This window comes from Homo sapiens, chromosome 10, assembly GCF_000001405.40.
Source record: "Homo sapiens chromosome 10, GRCh38.p14 Primary Assembly".
NCBI classification, from domain to species: Eukaryota; Metazoa; Chordata; class Mammalia; order Primates; family Hominidae; genus Homo; species Homo sapiens.
This window is the reverse complement of record NC_000010.11, coordinates 91939306-91962010: the sequence shown is the minus strand read 5'-3', so window position 1 is coordinate 91962010 and position 22705 is coordinate 91939306. Positions and strand designations below refer to the sequence as shown.

At 37.3% G+C, this 22705-nt stretch overlaps 1 protein-coding gene across 20 annotated transcripts in view; it reads right to left on the bottom strand.

The window, feature by feature from the left end:
• The window catches only part of BTAF1 (B-TFIID TATA-box binding protein associated factor 1), a 107668-nt gene that overhangs the window by 69427 nt on the left and 15536 nt on the right, over positions 1-22705 (bottom strand). For 5 of the 20 annotated variants that reach the window (NR_165097.1, NR_165099.1, NR_165091.1 and 2 more), the window contains 9 exons: positions 21945-22059; positions 19443-19589; positions 10445-10608; positions 8138-8274; positions 5354-5483; positions 4718-4786; positions 2729-2946; positions 2131-2226; positions 1857-2033 (listed from right to left, as the gene is read on the bottom strand). Coding sequence is in view for 6 of the 20 variants with exons in the window: in NM_003972.3 (NP_003963.1) it covers positions 1857-2033; positions 2131-2226; positions 2857-2946; positions 4718-4786; positions 5354-5483; positions 8138-8274; positions 10445-10608; positions 19443-19589; positions 21945-22059 (1125 nt within the window). In the remaining 14 variants the exon portion in view is untranslated. Of the gene's footprint in view, positions 1-1856; positions 2034-2130; positions 2227-2728; positions 2949-4717; positions 4787-5353; positions 5484-6578; positions 6694-7310; positions 7423-8137; positions 8275-10440; positions 10609-11037; positions 11128-16489; positions 16826-19442; positions 19590-21944; positions 22060-22705 lie in introns of those variants that run through there. The other 15 variants (NR_165090.1, NR_165104.1, NR_165096.1 and 12 more) reach the window with 11 other exon arrangements.

The window sequence follows — 22705 nt, the reverse complement described above, 5'->3', positions numbered from 1 at the left end:
ATTCAATGAGACATAAAACATCAAAACATGTTTTATACGTAAGACTATGAATTCTCTGTGTGAATACACACACACACAAACCCCTCTGCCAGAATCCTAGCCTCCATATCTCATTCAATGCCACCGACAACCAAAAGGAAAATGAGAGAAGAGTGAAAGAAAAGCCATACCTTCCCACTTCTCATTATTCCAATTTAATGTCTTTTCATTTCCCCCAACAGACCAGGCCCCAGACATTACTCCTGTGATCATATACTAGGAATCTCACTGAGAACTGGTTTCACTACGAAATAGGGATAATATTTCAAAAACAAATAAGGTGCTTTCCATTTCCATATAAGTCTACTGTTATCTACAGAGGCTAGAGTGCAGAACACAGAAAAAAAGGTTTTGTTTATGGGGGTAAGAGGGTGGCTGCCAAGGGGAGAAGAGCACTAAAAGGGGCAGGAAAAGCAAGGAAGGGAGCAGAGGGAGAAAAGAGTTGGACAGAGAGTTCAGGTCTCTCAGCAGAATCACGAATGCTTTGTTATTGGCAGTTAAAGAAGGGAAAAAAAAAAAAAGACAATCTTAGAAAACTTCAAAAGGCCTTTGAGCTTGCTTTTTGAGACAGAAAGGGAGGTTCCAATCTGTTATACAGTGAGCATGGGAAGAGAAGAAAAGCTGGCACAAAGCATTAAGTAGCCATAATGGATAGTGAAATGCCTATATAGGCCAATGCCTAACACCCTGACAATGCTGATCCTAACTGGAAAGTATTACGGGAAATTAAACTGGTAAGAAAAGGTCCTGGTCTCTCTCTAGCTCCTCATTCATAATCTCTCCTTTACTTCCACGTCTCTTCTTTTTCGTCAATACTCACTCTTTGCTGACCCATTATGTTCAGAGTCAAGACAACTATTTGTGGAAGTCCCTAATTCTGTCACTAGATCTATGGTGGAGAAGCAGGGAGAAGGAGAAAAGAGATGTTTTACTGGCATCTCATATTGGAAATCAGAATCAATTTTTCCACAAAAATATTATGTGTATATATAGATTACACAGCACTTATTAGTTTAGTAAAGGACTTTAGATATATTTATATATGAAATAGGCTTTTGTGGGCCAATCTAAGAACTGAAGTCCTAGCCAGAATATATCAGAGTTTTTAATAACCCACTAAGGGAACATAAATGTTCCTGAGTAGGGGACTATCTGCATATGCAGGTATTTTCATCCTAGATGATGTATAACATTACACTAAACACTGTTCTATAAGACATGCCATTTAGTTTCTAGTTCTAGTACTAACTAACCTTAACTAGTTTTGTGACCATCAGCAAGGCATCTAATTTTTCAGAACTTATTTCCCTATATGAAAATAATAAGACTACATGCATTTTCTTCTTCTAAGCTTTGTCATAAAGGATTAAAAAAAAAAAAAAAACACTGACAGTTTATGTAAAAAGTACATGACCATACAGATTGTCTGCTTTACACTTTGATGTCTACTCCTGTATGTATACTGCATAACTTGGCACCATGTTGTATAGCCCTCAGAGCATGTATTCAATATTTAAATGAGTTAAAACAGTAAAACCAAATCATGAAGAGCACTGAATTAACTGTAGCAATGGATTAAAAAGGAAAAATAATCTTTGAACTTAAAGAGCAAACAATGTAACTAACCATCTTTTGATTTATACTTAAATTCTTATGAGCGCCACCTATCTCTATGACACTCTCTCAAGACGGCAAATCTTGGAAGACTGGCTTCTCTGTAACAGTAAGAATCTACGGCCATTTCGTCTAATTAGTGAAAATAAACTATAAGGGGGAAAAAACTCTCCCACATAAGCTTCAAAACTTGAAATATTTACCTGACGGACTGCCAAAGCATATTTTATTCCCAGCAGACCACCATGTCTAACTTCCCATTGTTCTTGTGTAAGTAATTTTAGCAGCACATCCACAGTCTTATGAACTCCTGTTTCGTTCATGTGTTTTAAAACCACACCTAATGTTTGAGCACAAGTTTCACGAACTGGTGCCACAACCTACAGACGAAAAAGGAAGAAAACTCATATTTGCAAAAAACGTATTTTGTAGAATTTGAAATTTGATTGGGCAAAGCCTCCCTTAAATGATACTTACTTCATCAGAAACAAAGTCTCCAAATCTGTCTAATGCAAAAACACAAAGGAGTCTAATAACCAAGTCTTCCAACCACTCTTGATGCTGCTGAATCATCTGTTAAAATATAATATATATATATATATATATATATATATATACACACACACACACACACACACATTTTTTTAACATAATTTTTTTAAAAACAAAGATCATACTTTGTACTGGGGACTTGGGGGACACCTTAGGTCCAAAATCAAAAATAAAAAATGGGGACAGATTTTAGCTGTAGGAACAACAACCAAAAAGTAGAATAGTCCCAATTAATGTCTTTAATATTAAACATATCTCATATCCCCTTTGATCATTAATTCAATTCAGATATACTATATCACAATTCTTAAAATTCATGGATTGTATTATGTTACTCGCACTCCAAGAGAAATTAAGAAACTAATTACTTAAGGTTGTTCTCATATCAAGCACACCGGTCATATATCTATTATTTATACTATTACCAGTGTCTCCAGGCAATACCAATTATGTTGCTCACTGACCTCTCAACTAGCCTCTTATTCATCTTACTCTACTTTTCAATCCATTGTATGATATTTACCTTTTCATATCTCTTCCTCTTATTTACCTCTCATTCCTACTTCACGGCACATACTCGTTACTTCCCTACATTGGAAAAAGATGCCAACTATTAATACTTGGTGATAATTGTTGCATTAATACACTTACCTCTTCTAAAGTGCTGTCACCCATTTTACCACCACTTTTCCCATGAGCTTTAAGAATTTCCCTAAGTCCAGTGCCTGCACCATGTCGAACCTGAAAAGAACAAAGAAGCAAATGTCAGATGTTAAATGTTTAAGAAACAAAGTTTGATTTTTCTTCTATACGAAATAGGGATACTGGATTTTTAAGAAATTAGAATAAACTAAGTGGAACTTTACAAGAATGTATTTTTCTTCAACTATCTAAGAAGAATTACACATATACATTTCAGACTGCTTTTGGTTATATGGAATTTTTTAAAAATCAAGCAAGAAAACAGCTATTCTAAAATCCTTTTGAGATATAAATCCACATTGCTTTCACTCCCTTATCCTCTACCTTCATTCAGCACTATCCACAGCAAGAGAGAGGAAAGAAAGTATCGTATAGTGTTTTTGTTTGTTTGTTTGTTTTTCGAGATGGAGTCTCACTCTGTTGCCCAGGCTTGAGGGCAGTGGTGCAATCTTGGCTCACCGCAACCTCCGCCTCCCGGGTTCAAGCGATTCTCCTGCCTCAAGCCCCCCAAGTAGCTGGGATTTCAGGCGCCCGCCACCACGCCCGGCTAGTTTTTCTATTTTTAGTAGAGACAGGGTTTCTCCATGTTGGCCAGGCTGGTCTCAAACTCCTGACCTGAAGCGATCTGTCCGCCTCAGCCTCCCAAAGTGCTAGGATTACAGGCATGAGCCACCACGCCCAGCCCAAGGTGTTCTTTATAATCCCAACACATGTATTTTCAAAATATGTGCATCAAAACTAAGCTCCAGGCTGGGCGAGGTGGCTCACACTTGTAATCCCAGCACTTTGGAAGGCCCAGGTGGGCAGATCACTTGAGCTCAGGAGTTCAAGCAAGACCAGCCTGGCCAAAATGATGAAGCCCCATCTCTAATAAAAATATTTTTAAAAGTAGCCGGGTGTGGTGGCACGCACCTGTAGTCCCAGCTACTCAGGAGGCTAAGCCAGGAGAATCGCCTGAACCTGGGTGGCGGAGGTTGCAGAGAGTCAAGATCGTGCCACTGCACTTCAGCCTGGGAGACAGAGTGAGACTCCATCTCAAAAAAATCAAAAAGTGAAAAACCTAAGCTCCAAAGCTACCAATGATAAGTGAGTGCCAAAAGAAGACAATACAAATAAAATGTCTTATGATTAATGCATCACTATACCCCTGGGGATAAATCACCTTTCTGTGAGAAGGTGAGGCTACTTTCTGCAGTGTCATCAGGAAAGGAAAAGAACAAGCTATTGACACTGTGCCCACTTCTTAACACCCCATGAGTTATGACTTGAGTAACTTTAAATAGAATTACACCAAGGAAAGGCAACTAAAAGGTATTCTAAATAAATGTTTTTTAAATTACACAGAGGCCAACAGAAGGGAGAAACAATGGTTTGAAACTACCAATCCTCAACTTCAAGCAGAGGAACTTCACTCTTCTCTTCTACACATTGGGAACTGTTCAAGATGTTCTCTAAAGATTTCTGAGGCTAAAAAGCTGGCTTGGAAACTACTGCTCTTGATCAATCAAAATTGTCCACTTCCAAAGGAAAGGAAGTATTTTTTTTACTGCCTGGGAGAGATATGCAAGCCTTTGGATTATAATTTAAAGAACGAAAAGAAATAAACAATTCACTAAAGAATATGACTGAAGGATATGAAAGGTGAAAATCAATTTATAGTTTTCTATTTAGGTCAATGATATGACGTGCCCTGAGTCCTGAGACAAACAGAGAAGAATAGGGACTCTGACAAAGTATATTGCTCTTGACATTGTTCCCTTCATTAGCACAGAAAATAGAGCTGAGAAAAACTGTAATGAAGAAATCTTACCTCCCAGGAGGGATTAAAAAGGTCATTGCAAAGTTCTTCACAAAAGCTTTCCAAAGGCCATTCATTTGTCTGAATAAGAAAAACAGAATTACTACTAGTTCAAAAGGTCTATTTTATGCTAACAATTTAAGTAACTTAATAAATTTTATTTCTAGGTCTAGTAGTAGCAATCAGGCTTTTAAAAATTTAATTTTTTTAACTAATTAAGATATATTTTTACTGATAAAATTTCTCTCAATAGATTATTCAATACTTTCAATGATATATTAGTTTGAAAAAGATTTATAAGCAATTTTTTTTTTTTGAGACAGAGACTCGCCCTGTAGGCCAGGCTAGAGTGCGGTGGTGCAATCTCAAGTCACTGCAACCTCGGCCTCCCGGGTTCAAGCGATTCTCCTACCTCAGCCTCCCAAGTAGCTGGGATTACAGGCACGTGCCACCACGTCTGGCTAATTTTTTATATCTTTAGTAGAGACAGGGTTTCACCATGTTGGCCAGGCTGGTCTCAAGCTCCTGACCTCGTGATAACGCCCGCCTCGACCTCCCAAAGTGCTGGGATTACAGGAGTGAGCCACCGCTGCTGGCCCAAAGATTATAAGCAATTTTAATGGATACTTTAGAGTCTTTCAAGAGTACCTCTTCAATTAAGGAAGAGCTGTCTGGAATATTATCAATCAAGACTTTGGAATCATTTGCAGACTGATTAATAACAACATTTGCTATTTTCCGTCTCTTTTCTTCTGGCTCCCCATCAGTGCTATCATTGCTAAAAAATAAAAGTCACCATTTAGAAAATGAATAAAGCGTAATGTGAACCACAATGAATGAAATGAATAAAAGATAATGTGAATCACAATGAATTTAAGATAATCCATCATTTAAACAAATGTTTTACACCATATTCTGCTTATATGATTTACTTAAAATCCCATGTATCAAACGACTAACTGCTTAAAATTTTTTGAGCAAAATATATTCTAACTACACTATAGGTTGGTGAATTCTTTTTTTCAAATTGGATCTTGAATTTAATAGGCCATTTTTCCCTCCTCTCTACAATCAGCTCATCATCTTTTTTATAACCTGCATATAACCTGCATCTGGTCCAGCATAACATTAACGTTTTTAGGCTTTTATATACTAGAGAAAACTAATATACTGAGCAATACAGTATAATCTTACCAGTTCTTGAAAAATATGGAGATAAACAATTGACCAATGAAAAAAGGATATAGAAAATTTGAGGAAATGTTCTATTATGACTTAAAGACCAAAAATTTTGAGGCTAGCCTAATACTGGAAAGGAGAGGACAAGTCAAACTACTTTCATTCAGCATTTAGAAAAGAAAAACTTAGCACATTTTAAAGCATATACAGCATTATTTTCTATAAATACTTCTCCCCTCTCTCCATCTTAATAGTGAAATTTATTTGGCCAACCATTTTTTCTATAAGGTGATAAAAGAAATCTGAGCCTCCCTCTCATTTCCTATTACTCTTCCCTTAATTATCTCCACATCTAGCCACATTAGTAGGTCACCTTAAGTCCCTGAACTTGTTAGGCATGTTTCCCCTTGCAGGCATTTGTCCTTGTAATTCCCTCTATTTGGAAAGCATAACATTTTCTTAAACTATTTAAAACTATTGAAACTTTTCCTAGATATTCACAGGACTAGCACTCTCATTTCTTTCAGATTGTTACTCAAAAGTCACCTCTAGGAAGCCCTCCTAGACCTTCCTATCTAAAATTTCAAACTCTATACCCCAAAAATATTTCACATGTTCCTTCCCTGTTTTATCTTCTTTTCCTTAACGCTTAACATTATCTGTATTTTATATATATACACACATATATACACACACACTGTATTTTACTTATTTATTTCCCATCTTTCTTTCCCTCCAGACTATAACCTCCGAAGGCAGGAATTCTTCTCTATTTTATTCACACATGTCCTCAGGGCCTAGAACAATACCTGGCAAATAGAAGGTATTTAATAAATGTTTGTGAATGACTCATGAACTCTGAAAAATAAAGTCGAATATTTCCAACATTCAAATCTTTGGCTAAAAGTGCTTGTATGAATAAAAACCAGTAGAAAAACTTATTAGGTTACTATATGATCTTAATGAGCTGTTAACTTTTAAAAAATCTTGTCATTAACAAGCTGAATAAAAAGTTTGCAGTTAAAGATTTACCCTCAAGTATAAATTTCTACCAAGTATATGTTTATTATTTATCCCCCTTTGTGCCTAGCTTTTAAACACTAAACACTTTTTAGCTTTATGTGAATACATATAACAAAAAGTTCTGTCATTTGCAAATCCTATTTTCCGAGGCTTTTTATTAATTCAGCATTTATGCAAACATTTCCTGAGCACCACTAAAGATTCTTATTTAACAGATCTGAGTGGGACCCAAGAATATACATTTTTGGCCAGGTGTGATGGCTCAAGCCTATAATCCCGACACTTTGGGAGGCCGAGGAAGGAGGACCACTTGAGCCAAGGAGTTAGAGACCAGCCTAGGCAACATAGGAAGACCTTATGTCTACAAAAAATTTAAAAATTAGCCACACATGGTGGTTCACACCTGTAGTCCCAGCTACTTGGGAGGCTGAGGCAGGAGGATTGCTTGAGCCTGGGAGTTTGAGGCTGTAGTGAGCTACGATCGAGCCACTGCACTCCAGCCTGGGCGACAGAGACTGCATCATAAAAACAAAAACAAACAAAAAAAAAACAGCATTTTTTTTTTACAAGGTCCTCGAAGAGCACCTGAAGGAAATAGTTTTGAACCACCCTTTGAGAAATGCTGCTCCAAGCCATGCATAGATGATCACTTTTAGTAACTTATGAAGAAACAGAGGACAGTGACTTTACCCACACAGTTCTTTTCTTCAACAGGACTACATAAACTAGCCTAGATTATCATTGGCTATTTAGCATAGCCCCAGCTTAAGGCACAGGTGAGGTAATATCGTGACAATACCTCCCACTTTACTAAGGGAGTATTCTTAACTTGTGGTCCTTAGACACCTCTCTGATTTCATTCTCTATCACTCTCCTGTGCACTCATCCCAGTATAGAAGGCCATACTGCCCTTCTATTTGTTTCTTGATTATTCCATGTTTAAGGCATTTAAACTTGTTTCTTCTGCCTGGAATGCTCTCCCCTTTGGAGATCCTCAGCCCTCATTCAAAACTGATAATTAGTAGGAAAAAAGTCTGTACATGTGGATTTTTCTGGGGAAGTGGTCTCAGTTCCTAGTACAATGAATACTCTCTGACAATTGAGTAAGAGAATCCAAACAGTACTCCCCAGCTAAATATGTCAGCAGAATGTTTCTATAAATCAAGCAGACACAGATTAAAGCCACAGAGCCCTCTTGTTTTAAGTGAATAGGCAAAAAAAGATTACTACCTCTTCTCATTAGTTTCCACTGCATCCCTGGATCTCTGTTTTGCAAATAACTTGGCCATTCTTTTAGCTTTGTTCTTTTGTCTATTGCTCATTCCTGCTCGAAACTCTGAGTCAATCAATTCAGCTGCCTGAAGAGTCTAAAAGAATAAAAGAATGCTGAGTTGGAACTTTTGAAATTAAAATAAGTACCTATAGTCTCAGCCTCAGAAGAAGACCAAGTCTATAAATTTCAGTATATATACATCGATCACATTCTTTTTTGACAGGTTCACACTCTTTTGTTGTATGACTGTACCATAATTTCAGTCTTTTCCTCCCTTTTCTCTGTTATTCCAACTCCCAACAGATACACATATGCTTCTTAACTTTTTTTATGCTACATTATGAGGCACAAATGTATGATCCTAACCCATAGAGAAGGCCTTGAAGAGGTAAGACTTCAAAATAAAAATAATATCACCAAAAAGTTATGAGAATAAATGTCAATAGAAGAAACTGATCATCACCATCTGCTGAAAAAAATAAATAAATAAATTATAGCCTTAAGTGATTGGTCCAGCATGCTATAGTCCAACTTAGCTCATATGCCCCTTTCCTCTTAACTACTTACTGTCTACTCTTTTTGCTCTTTTCCATTCACAGAAGACACTATAAAGTCTGTGCGTTAGATTTTTAAGCTCAAGCCTAAAAATCCCTTCTGTGCCTAACCAAAAGATTCAACTGAAATTTATACTTCCACAAACAGTTAAGGTCACTGGTGTGGATGTTCTGCTGCAGTCTTGATCAAGAACCATGGGCACATATATAAGCAATGCAGCTGTAATGACCTATGGCAACGATGAACCTCAAGCAACTTCCCCCAAAGGTCCATGATATATAAATCTGGATTTTGCAAACCCCAAATTAGTGTTGCCTATCCCGCACCCAATTAATCTGATCTGTATAGCCCACTTTCTAATACACCTGCCCATTCATTTTCTTACACCATGTTCAATTACCCATACTGTGATCATATTATTGCATTTTTATTCTATTATCCTCTTTATCTTCTAGTTACATCTTACACTTTCCTTTCTACCCCATTTCCTTCTGTTCCTTTCAGGGTGTTGCTGTATTCTGGCCTCTTCATACTCTCTCTTTTTTCTCTCCTAGTATCTGCCTTTCTACCCCCTTGTCTGCAGAAGTTACTCATCATCACTCACACCCCCAACCCTAAAAAATACACTTTACAAATTCTAATGGTTTAAAGTGCCATTCGTATAAAGGCAAATAGAACCATTCTCCACTGAAGCAAAGGAAAAGACCAGGGGAATGACAAGACAGGAGATTCATAATTGCAAAGCAGGAATTGTTAATGCAGCCCATGGACCCCTAAAAGAATACTGGGGGTCAGGTAAAAGAGTACTGAACCGCTTGAGATGTAATATCTCACATGTGCATTTTTCCGAAGAGAGCCACAGCTTTTACTAGAGCTTCAAAAGAGTCTGTGGCATAAAAAAAGTTAAGAAGCACAAATGTATCCACTGGGAACTGGAATAGAGGAAGAGGAAGAAAAGAGTGAAATTATGGTACAGCCACAAAACAAAACAGCATGAAGCTGTCCAAAAAGAATGCGGTCAATCTGAATATACTGACACATTAAGCTGTATGAAGTGAGAAAAGGTAAACATGGCTTAAAAGGAATATATATATACACACACACACACACACACAAACACACACACACACATATACATATATACACACACACAAACACATGCACTTGGTACACACAAGTTTCAGAAATGATGCACAAGTAACTTGAAAATGGTTGTCTATGGGGCATGGAAATGTCTGTGTCCTGTTGGCAAAAAACTTCCTTTTACTTCATATTATATACCCTTTCTCGGTTGTCTTATTTCTCACTTAAAAAAAAAAGAATAAATCATAACACTAAACACTTCTACTATCATATCTGACTATAATAGCCCTTACTATCTCTCACTCTCCCAAAAAATTACTTTTCCCTACATCAAAGAACATACCAAAAAAAGAGCAATTGCAGCAATTAGAATCTTTCAATACCAGTAGTGCCTAAAAGGTCTACTACAACTTAACAGTCCAGTGTCTGGGAGGTAGGTTGAGCTTCTAACTCTATAGAATCTGTCATCAGAAATCCAGTTAAAAAAAGATGCTAAATTATGGTGGCACTAAGCAGCAATGAACAGAGCTAAGTATAACATTTTCTTAAACTATAATTACATAAACAAAATGAAGCAAACCCTTTGTATTATTACTTGCAATCAAATAACCAAACGTTTTACCTACAGGTTGTTTGTTAACAAAGGATGCTGAAGTTGGGGTATAATCCAAATCCTCATCATTGAAAAGTTCTTCAGTACTCATTCCAATTGCTTCTCCCATATTAAGGCCAAGTTTCTTCTGTAATAATTTTCGTTGGCGTGCTATCCTCTCTTTAGGATCCACTTCACCTTTCAACAGAAAAGAAATACGTTTTCTCCAAATCAGTTAAGAAGTTTTCTAATACGTGCACATCAAACTCTATCAAAATAAAAAAATACACAAAGCATCCCTTCTGCCAATAAAACCAACCATATTCATTCATGATCATCTCATAAACTCTGTTACCTAATCACATTGGAAAATACTGGTCTAGTTAACAAAACATTCTGGGAGTTTTCACTGAGATTCCCGCATTCCCCAACTGTTAATTAGTAAATATATATAAAATAATAAGATTCATTCCTGGGCCAGGTGCAGTGGCTCACACCTGTAATCCCAGCACTTTGGGTGGCCGAGGTGGGAGGATCACTTGAGCCCAGGAGTTTGAGACCAGTCTGGACAACGTAGGGAGACCCCATCTCTATAAAAAATAATTAGCAGGGCATGATGGTACACACCTGTAGTCCCAGCTACTCCAGGGGCTGAAGGCGAGAGGCTTGCTTCAGCCCAGGTCAAGGCTGCAGTGAGCTGTGATCAAAACACTGCAGTCCAGCCTGGGAAACAGAGTGAGACCCTGTCTCAAAAAAAAAAAAAAAAAATACATCTCTATGGAAACAAATCAATTTTATTTTATAGCTACACCTGTACCTCCTACGAAAGCTCTCACTGGGCTAAAAAAACATCTAGATTTTGTTCAACAGTAAAAGGGCTCAACAAACAAATGCTTACTCCAAGTGTAGCCTTTATGTATTCTGAGCTGATACAGCCCTAATATCCCAAATAATAAAGAGAATAAAAGTAGACAGGTTTTTAAATGTCTCAAGTAAAACCCTCAATCCTTCGGTGCAAAACAGACAAAACAGAACATACCAAAGGGCATTTAAAAATAAAAATTTGCCCTTAAAACAGCTAAGCTGTAAAAGACAGTTATACCTTACTGAAAAAAATTTGATATTTTAAAAACAATAACGATCTGCTTCTAATAATGGCTGAGTTAGTTCCTATTGGACTAACCCTCTGCACCTAACAAACTGGCAAAAACAGAAAAAACAAACTACCTAAAGGCACCAGGAAAAAAAAAAAAAGGCATTTACTTAGGGGAATTGTCAGTACTTAAAAAGATGGGAATAGCACTAAAAGCTAAAAGCTACAAAAGCGAAAAGCTACAAAAAACAAAAGTTTCCCCTTTTTGTAGCTTTTAGCCTGAAGATAGAGCCAGTACATGAAATGCGTGGCAGCTAAAATCTGAATTAAAAACCTAGTCTTCTTTCCCGCCCCCCCCCACAAAGGACAAGGTCTCTCACTCTGATACCCACGCTGGAGTGCAGTAGGTACAATCATAGCTCACTGCAGCCTCAAACTCCTGGACTTAAGGAGTCCTCCTGCCTCAGCCTTCTGAGTAGCTAGGACCATATGCATGTGTCACCATTCCTGGCTAATTTTTTTTTAATTTTTAATTTTAGAGATGGGGTTTATTATGTTTGCCCAGGCTGGTTTTGAACTCCTGGCCTCAAGCAGTCCTCCTGCCTTGGCCTACCAAAGCGCTGGGATTACAAGCGTGAGCCACTGCACCTGGCCAAAACCCACAGTCTTTCTGGCTTGGCTTGAAGAATGAGAAGAGAGTTAGGGGCCATTACAATCCCAGGAAGTTAGAAAGGGAAAACCCCAAAAGAAAGAGAGCCAGAGAGAAGAGGGCCAAAATTCTCTGTAAACTCAGCCCAAATCTCTGGTTGACCTATGAACTATGCATGCCCAGAGCAGACTCCAGACAATGCAGCTAAAGCTAAAATCTAAAAAGCTAAAATCTAAAAAGCTAAAATTGAGATTTGAGCTATTGTCCAGAGCAAAGAAGAATGAGTTTGAAATTTTGAGTTCCACCAAAGTAAATGTCTGCTAAAACAAGCAAGCAAAAACAAGCAAAACAATCTTTGGAAGAATGTAACAGAATCTAGTCTACACCGCATAACGTTCATAATGTGCAGAATAACTGACAAAATTAAAAGCAAAGAAAAGAAAATGTAACCCATTTTTAAAAGAAAGATAATTAATGGATACCAACTCTGAGATGTCTCAGATGTTAGAATTAAAAGGTTTTATTTAGGGTTTCTGTTTGTTTTTTGAGACAGGCTCTTGCTCTGCTACTCACGCTGGACTGCAGTAGCATGATGACAGCTCACTGGAGCCTTGTCCACCTAGACTCAAGCAATTCTCCCACCTCAGCGTCCTGAGTAGCTGGGACCACAGGCATGCACCACCAAACCCAGTTAATTTTTTATTTTTTGTGGAGGTGGGGTCTTCTCTCTAGACTGCCCAGGCTGGTCTCAAACTCCTGGGCTCAAGACATCTTCCCACTTCGGCCTCCCAAAGTGCTAGGATTACAGGCCTGAGTTACTGCACCCAACCAGAATGCAAGATTCGTAAGCAACTAATATAACAACGCTCAATGTAAAAGAAGATACTGTCACAATGAATGAAAGATAGGATACCTTGGTAGAGAATCAGAAACTATAAAAAAGAACCAGACTGGGTACAGTGGCTCACATCTGTAATCCCAACCGTCTGGGAGGCCGAGGCAGGAGGATTGCTTCAGCCCAGGAGTTCAAGACCAGCCTGGGCAACATGGCAAAATCCCATCTGGACAAAAAATTTTAAAAATATATAGAATTGTACACTTTAAAAAGGTGAATTAAATAATGTGCAAAATATGCCAATATAACTTTTTTTTTTTTTTTAATAAAAAAGAAGTTCTGGGGCAGGCATAGTGGCTCACACCTGTAATCCCAGCACTTTGGGAGGCCAAGGTGGGAGAATCGCTTGAGGCCAGGAATTTGGGACCAGCCTGGGTAACATAGCAAGACCCCCATCTCTACAGAAAAAAAAATAAAAAATTAGCCAGGCGTGGTGGCACGTGCCTGTGGTCCTAGCAAGATGGGAGGATTGCTTGAGCCCAGGAGTTCAAGGGTGCACTGAGCTACGATCATATCACTGAACTCCAGCCTGGGCAACAGAGTGAGATCCTGTCTCTAAATAAATAAATAAATAAATAAATAAATAAATAAATAGTTCTAAAACTGAAAAATATAGTATCTGAAAAAAAAATTTTAAACCACTGGATAGACTTAACAGCTTAATGGAAGATAACAGGACAAAATGCAAGTGAACTTAAAGATAAAGCAATACTGTTCTCACTCATAGGTGGGAACTGAACAATGAGAACACTTGGACACAGGGGGAGGAACGTCGCACACCGGGGCCTGTCGTGGGGTGGGGGGATGGGGGAGGGATAGCATTAGGAGAAATACTTAATGTAAATGACGAGTTAATGCGTGCAGCAAACCAACACGGCACATGTATACATATGTGACAAACCTGCACGTTGTGCACATGTACCCTAGAACTTAAAGTATAATAATAAAAAAAAGATAAAGCAATACAAAGTACCCAATCTAAAGAACAAAGAGAAAAAAGATATAAAGAAACAAAAGCCCAAATATGAAATTAAGAAAACAATTCTATTTACGATAGCAACTTGTATTCTGTCAAGTATAAAATGAAAAAAATTAAAAACTAAATGAAAATGTTCATGCATCATAAGAGTAAATATTGTTAAAACACTAATATTTCCCAAATGTATACAGAGATTCAACAAAATTGCTATCAAAATCCCAGCTGGCTTTTTTTTTTTTTTTTTTTTTTGCAAACATTGACAGACTGGTCCTAAAATTCATATGGAAATGCAAGAGACTCAGAATAACCAAAACAATCTTGAAAAACAGGAACAAAGTTGGAGGCTCATGCATCTTGATTTCAGAACTTACTACAATGCAACAATAATTTAGACAATGTGGTACTCGCGTAAGAATAGACATCAATGGAATAGAATTAAGAGTCCTGAAATAAACCTATGTGTCTGATGGTCAATTGATTTTTGACAAGAGTTCCAGAGCAATTCAATGAGAAAGAGAACAGTATATTCTACAAATAGTGTTGAGACAACAGGATAGCCACATGCAAAAGAATGAAGTTGGACCCTTAACCTCAAAACATATACAAAAAAAACTCAAAATCGATAAAATAACTAAAAACTAAAGCTATAAAACTCTCAGAAGAAAACAGAGGTAAATGAGCTTGAATTTGGCAAGTTTCTTACATATAATACCAAAAACTTGAGAAACAAACAAAACAATACAAAAAAATTGGACTTCATAAAAATTTAAAACTTTTATGCTTCTTACCACAGAGGAAATGAAAAGATAACCTATAGAGCAGTAGAAAATATGTGTAAATCAGGCTGGGGGTGATGGCTCATGCCTGTAATCCCAGCACTTTGGGAAGCCAAGGCCGGTGGTTCACCTGAGGTCAGGAGTTCAAGACCAGCCTGGCCACAACAGTGAAACCCTATCTCTACTAAAAATTAAAAAATTAGCTGGGTGTGGGGCAGGCACCAGTAATCCCAGCTACTGCAGGAAGAAGCCAAGGCAGGAGAATCATTTGAACTCAGGAGGTGGAGGTTGCAGTGAGCAGAGATCACACCACTGCACTACAGCCTGGGTAATGGAGTGAGACTCTGTCTCAAAAAAAAAAAAGAAAAGAAAAAGAAAAAAAGGAAATGCATAAATCACATATCTGGTAAGAAGCTTGTATTGAGAACATATACTCTTACAACTTATAATAAAAGGACAAATAACCCAATGAAAAACGTGCAAGTTATATGAATTGACATTTCTCTAAGGAAGGTATACAAATGGTCAATACATGAAATGAAGTTCAACATTATTGGACATCAGGGAAATGCAAATCAAAATCACAATGAGATATCACTTCACACCATTAGTACAGCTATAATCAAAACATCAGATAATAAGTGTTAGGAAAAGATGTTGAGAAATTGAATGTAAAATAGCAGAGCCACTTTGGAAAACTCTGGCAGTTTCTCAAATGGTAAAATACAGTTACCATATGAGCCAGTAATTCCACTCCTAGGTATCTACCTGAGGGAAATTAAAACATATGTCCAAACAAAAACTTGTACATGAATTTTTACAGCAGTATTTTTCTTTCTTTCTTTTTTTTAGACAGAGTTTCACTCTTGTTGCCCAGGCTGAAGTGCAATGGCGCGATCTTGGGTCACCGCAATCTCTGCCTCCCAGGTTGAAGCGATTCTCCTGCCTCAGCCTCCCAAGTAGCTGGGATTACAGGCATGCGTCACCACGCCTGGCTAATTTTTGTATTTTTAGTAGAAATGGGGTTTCTCCATGTTGGTCAGGCTGGTCTCAAACTCCTGACCTCAGGTGATCACCCGCCTTTGCCTCCCAGCAGTATTTTTCAAAACAGATAAAAGGTAGAAACAACCCAAATGTCCATCAACTAATGAAAGGCTTTTACAAATTGTGGTATTCATACAATGGAATATTATTTGGCCATAAAATGAAATACTACCACATCATATCCATTAGGATGGCAACTATCAAAAAACAGAAAATAACAAGAGTTGGCAAGGATGTAGAGAAATTGGAACCCTTGTGTACTGTTGGTAGAAATGTAAAATGATGCAGCTGTTAGGGAAAACTGAATGGCAGCTCCTCAAAAAATTAAAAATAGAATGACCATCTGATCCAGCCATTTACTTCTGGGTATATACCCCAAAGAACTGAAAGCAGTAACTCAAACAGATATCTGTACATCCATGTTCACAGTAGCATTATTCACAACAGTCAAAATGTGGAATAAGCCTGTGTCCACTGATGGATGAATGGATAAACAAAATTTATATACATACAATGGACTATTATTCAGCCTTAAAAAGAAAGGAAATTCTGTCCCATACTACAACACAGATGAACCTTGAGGACATCAAGTTAAGTGAAATAAGCCCATCACAAGAAGACAAACACTGTAGGATTCACTTACATGAGGCATCTAGAGTAGTCAAATTCATGGAGACAGAAAGAATGGTGGTTGCCAGGGGCTGGGGAAAGGGGGAAATGGGGATTTGACGTTTAATAGGTAGTTTCAGTTTTGCATGATGAAGACTTCTGGAGACTGGCTGCACAACAATGTGACTGTACTTAACATTACTAAACTTAAGTTTTAAAAACGGTTAAGGATGGTAAATTTTTTGTTATATATATTTTACCACAATTTAAAAAACCTGATACATCCCTTAACAGTAATAAAATTTAGAAAAGAAAAAAAAGTACTGATATACGCTGTCATATAGATGAACCTTGAAAATATTCTCTTAGGTAAAAAAAAAACCACCACAAAAGACCACATATTGTATGATTCAATTTACCAGCCACATGCCATTTAATGATGAGTACATTCCGAGAAATGTGTCATTCAGTGATTTTGTGGTTGTTGTCAACATCACAGTGTGCTTACAGAAACCTAGATCATAAAGCCTACAACACAGCTACACTGTATGGTATAGCCTGTTGCTCCTAGGCTACAAACCTGTATAGCATGTTACTAAATACTGTAGGCAACTGTAACGCAATGGTAAGTATTCATATATCTAAACATAGAAAAGGTACAGTAAAAATACAGTAATATAATTTTATGGGACCACAACTGTATATGCAGTCCTAGTCTGTTGCTGACTTAAATGCTGTTATGTGGTATGTGACCAAATATAAAATGTTGAGAATAAGCAAATCTAAAGAGACCAAAAGTAGACTCATGGTTGCTGGGAAGAGGAGGGAAGGAAGTAAGAGGATAAAAGGGTGATAGCTAAGGATATGGGGTTTCTTCTTAAAGTGACGAAAATGTTCTAAAATTGTGGTGATAGTTACACATACCTGTGAGTATACTAAAAACCACTGAATTGTATACTTTAAATGATGAATTGTATAATGTATAAATTATATCTCAATAAAGCTGCTTGAAAATTTTTTTAAAGATTGGTCTACCCAGGAGGGAAAAACACTAGGCATCCAAAAGACTGCTTGATCACAACCCCAATACACTTACACAGAGCCTAAAATTGGTCCTCTCATTCCAGGCGAAGCCCTATTGGGGGAAATAATCTACACAACCAGCTGCAAAGGAAACCCAGACCAGTATGTATACTAATCATATATGGTGTCATTAATATATATGAGGGGACAAACACAGATCAACATTTAAAGAAAACCTAACTACAGGGTTTTAAACAAGCACTGTTCAGCAAGCTGTGACTTACTAGCACTAAAAAACTGAGTTCCCAAGAAACTGCAGTTCCCAATCCTGGTTACATATCAGAATCACCTATAGGACTTTTCTTTTTTTTTTTTATTTGGAGACAGAGTTTCACTCTTGTCACCCAGGCTGGAGTGCAATGGCCACGATCGCAGCTCACTGCAACCTCCGCCTCCCGGGTTCAAGCCATTCTCCTGTCTCAGCCTCCAGAGTAGCTGGGATTACAGGCACCCGCCTCCACACCCAGCTAATTTTCATATTTTTAGTACAGACAGGGTTTCACCATGTTGGCCAGGCTGGTCTCGACCTCCCGATCTCAGGTGAACTGCCCGTCTCGTCCTCCCAAAGTGCTGGGATTACAGGTGTGACCCACCACGCTGAGCCAGGCTTTTCTTTGAAATACAATTACCTAGACTTCTTCATAGATCTATGAAATAAGAATATGGCAAAACCAAAATATATATAATTTTGATCTCTGATAATGTCCATGAATACACTAGTAAAGTTAGTAAACTTACTATTTAGTGATATAAATGAAAAGATTTTGAAGAGTTTTACCTCCATTATTAGAAAAACTATGCTTTTCCAAAACTTAAGCAAATTATCCTCTTAATTCTCTGCAAAAATAACTAGATCTTTTAATAGAAACCATACTAAACAAGATGAAATGAGTATTTGACATTTTTTATGATAAAAAAGTGAATATATTAATAAGCCTCTAAATGACGATTAATTAGCAACAGAGTGTTATTCTGTTTTGTTTTTTACTCAAAAATGCAAATTATTTACTTACAAAAATCCATTTAAAACATCAAGGTTTTTTCCCCACTCCAGGCCATTATCTTGAATCGCCAAAACAGTAATTTTATATTCAGATAGATTCTGTAAGTTTAAAAATATTAGGACAATACCTATCCGGTATTTTTTTCTTCTTATTTTGAGACAGAGTCTACCTCTGTTGCCCAGGCTGGAGTGCAGTGGTGTGATCTCGGCTCACTGCAACCTCCGCCTCCCAAGTTCAAGCAATTCTCCTGCCTCAGCCTCACGGGTAGCTGGCATTACAGGCGCTCGCCACCATGCCCGGCTAATTTTTGTATTTTTAGTAGAGACAGGGTTTCGCCATGTTGGTTAGGCTGCTCTCGAACTCCTGACCTCAGGTGATCCACCCACCTTGGCCTCTCAAAGTGCTGGGATTACAGGTGTGAATACCTATCCAAGTCTTATTTTTCACTCTTAGTTTTTGCGTTGGACACCAGCATGAGTAAACCCAATAATATCAGAAATATGTGATAAAAACAAAACAATCAATCTCTCAAATTTCCAGAATTGTGAAAACACTACCACGATCTATACTAATCCTGATTTTATAATATATTAAACTGGGGCTCTTGGGGAACACTTTATAATTTCCATACTACATAATAAAATTGTTGCTGAAATATTAATATGTATCAACTAATGATGCACATATTCACTTAAAGGAGAAAAAATACTCATATTGTAGCTTTAAACCAAATACTGCTGGGTTACCTCCCATTCATAGCATCCCCCGCCACCTGCAAACTTCAGTTAATTTACATTTCATGACATGTTAGTTTACGTGTGACTAATGAACAGCATACCACAGTGACAAATTAGTCTGAAAAAACAAATTTTAGACTTTCTTCTCAGAACCACTACAGACCTGATTTTTCATCTTGGACTTCAAATTCGGCACCAGCAGATCCCAGGAGTGATGCACCATGTTGTAACAATCTACATATATCAAATCTGTCAAAATTCAATCGCTCTGTAGTAGGTGAATCTTCCATAGAACTTTCGGAAGTAGGTTCTACATGAGGTTTAAAAATATTAATTTGACCATATAGCCAAAGTGTGGAATGAAAGAAAATAGCATATCATTACTTGGGTTGCATGGGTTACACACACACACACACACACACACACACACACAAACTTTTTTTTTTAAGAAGTGAGGTCTTGCTCTGTTGCCCAGGCTGCAATGTAGTGGCATAATCACAGCTCACTGTATCCTCAAACTCCTGGGATCAAGGACTTCTTCTGCCTCAGCCTCCAGAGTAGCTAGGACTACAGGTGCACACAACCATGCCTAGCTAAGTGTTTTTTATTTATTTTTGTAGAGACAAGGGTCTCACCATCTTGCCCCAGGCTGGTCTCAAACTCTGGGGCTCAGGCAATCCCCTCCTGCCTCAACTTCCCAAAGTGCTGGAATTTACAGGCGTAAGCCACTGTACCCGGATAGTAATATTTTGAGAAAAGTAAAAGTGTAGTAAGTAGAAAAGCTACTGTGGGTTTATGATCAGTTCTTAGTTATCTGTGAATAAGTTGGTGGTTCCTTTTCCACAGACCATCAGATGTTAGTGAGTATATGTGTAACTGTGTCCAACCACAAAAGCAAAATGTTATTTATATAAAGAAATTGCATTCCCATGTTAAAATGTATATGTTAAATATCATGCTGTCTCTACTTACTGTTAAGAGTTTAAAAATACTAAGGTAACAGCATGAGTTTATTACAGTGCTCAGTTAGAAGACAAAAATATTCGCAGAATGTATTCATGAATAAGGCTAATAAGAATCATCCCTCCCCATACCTGAGGAACAGGCTGAGCCACAAAGCAACTATGCACTCAACAGGACTCAGTTCTCATACTCTGGGCAAATAAGAATCTCCTGGTAACTTGCTAAAATCACATATCCATGTGAGGTCTAAAAACATCTATAAAATGTTCTGTATTCCTTCCTCAAAAAGCTGTAAGTTATACATGTTAAAATATAATTACTTACTGACTTAATAGTTTGTTTAGCTGGCATCTGCATGAAATTCATCTGTAAACTAAAGTATAACTGCTTAACTTAAAAGGAATTTCTATTAGTATTTTAAGTTTTCTAGTGATGATAAGCAAATTCATTTAGTAAAAATTTTAAAGCTAGTTAAAAATTTAATGCTAGCTTAATGCGAGTTTTTTAAAAAAATTAAGTCTTTTAAAAACGGAACTAAGTTGTACCATCTTTACATACCAAACTAAGTGGGGATAACAAGCTGAAAAGGAAAAGGCTCTTTTCTAAAACAAGTTATAACTTCTCTAGTCACACATTTCATTTAATGAGAGAAGACAAATTAACAAAATAACTCAAAATAACAGGTATCAGCAAATATAAAGCAACAGTATTAGGCAAGCTAAGACTTATGATAAAAGTGATGTTATTAAAGGGAGTTGAGGCCGGGCACAGTGGCTCATGCCTCTAATCCCAGCACTTTGGGAGGCTGACGTGGGCCTCAGCTTGAGGCTAAATCATGCTTGAGGCCAGGGATTCAAACCCCACCCCCCCGAGCCTGGCCAACAAAGCAAAACCCAATCTGTACTAAAAATACAAAATTAGCTGAGCATGGTGGTGCACAACTGTAATCGCAGCTACTTGGGAGGTTGAGGCACAAGAATTGCTTGAACCCAGGAGGCGGAAGCTGCAGTGAGCCAAAACTGCACCACTGCACTCCAGCCTGGGTGACACAGTGAGACTCTGTCTCGAAAAAATAAAATAAAATAAAATAAATAAAATAAAACAAAATAATAAAATAAAATAAAAGTCAGTTGAAAACGAATCTAGTTGTACCATTAAATTTTGATTTAATTAAAATGTGCAGCTTTCCAGCTTTTCAAAAGCATGTAATTTGTTTTTAAATGTCATTACAGGCAATCAGAACACATTTTTTCCCACTACAAAAAATCCAAAAAAGGGCACATAAAAAACAAGACTTCACATTCCAAATATCCATATATAATTGTGCTTAAATGTAGAAAATAACTACCCTATACTATTCTCCCAGCAACAAGAAAAAAAGACTTTCAAATATTTACACTGTACTGATTTAACTTTTTTTAGAATGTCAATTACTTGAAGGGAAGTAATAACCCTTGTAAATCAAGCATACTGTAGAATTTGTAATTTAAAATGTATACAAAAACATTTTCTATATCCAGTAGTTTTTTTTTTTTAATGTGGTGAAAAATCACCTTATTCAGTATCATTTCCTGACAAAGCTGTACCTAAAAGCATGGAAATTAAGACTTTAAAATTGAAATTATTAAAATACAAAACGCATATTATAATTAATTCTACAGTTAGGTTTTTACTTAAAACTACTTTCTCCACTTAAAAGCACCTTGTCTGGTTCTCGGCACTGGATTCCACTCAGGTACATTTTTCACTATAGCTTCAACAGCTTGTCCTGCTGCAATCCGGGTATCCCAATTTGCACTCCTTAAATATATCAACACCTTAAAAATTATAAAATAAAAGTTACGTATACAAAAATATTGTTTGCGCAAGGTAGCCAGAACAGAGAAATACAAATTTACTTGTTATTAATGTGTAATTTGGCAGCCATCCAAATACATATAAAACACCTTAGAATTATTAAATTCATTTACAAGATTCTATCATTCAGAGAAAAATCACTACCACCTTAAAAAGGGGATTTAAGAAACCTGTGGCCAGGCACAGTGGCTCACACCTATAATCCCAGCACTTTGGGAGACCGAGGTGGGCAGACCACCTGAGGTCAGGAGTTCAAGACCAGCTTGGCCAACATGGTGAAACTCCATCTCTACAAAAAATACAAAATTAGCCAGGCATGGTGGCACACACCTGTCATCCCGACTACTTGGGAGGCTGAGACAGGAGAATCACTTGAACCCGGGAGGCAGAGGTTGCAGTGAGCCGAGATGGCGCCACTGCACTCCAATCTGGGCAACAAGAGCAAAACTCTGTCTCAAAAAGAAAAGAAACTTGTAATAAAAGAATGTTTAAGTGCATTTTAAAAATAACACCCATTTTACATACTAAAAAGCAAAATACATATTATTCATTAAGTCCCATTACTTAATACAAAGAATTGAAAGTTATAAAATCTCAAGTTTAGTA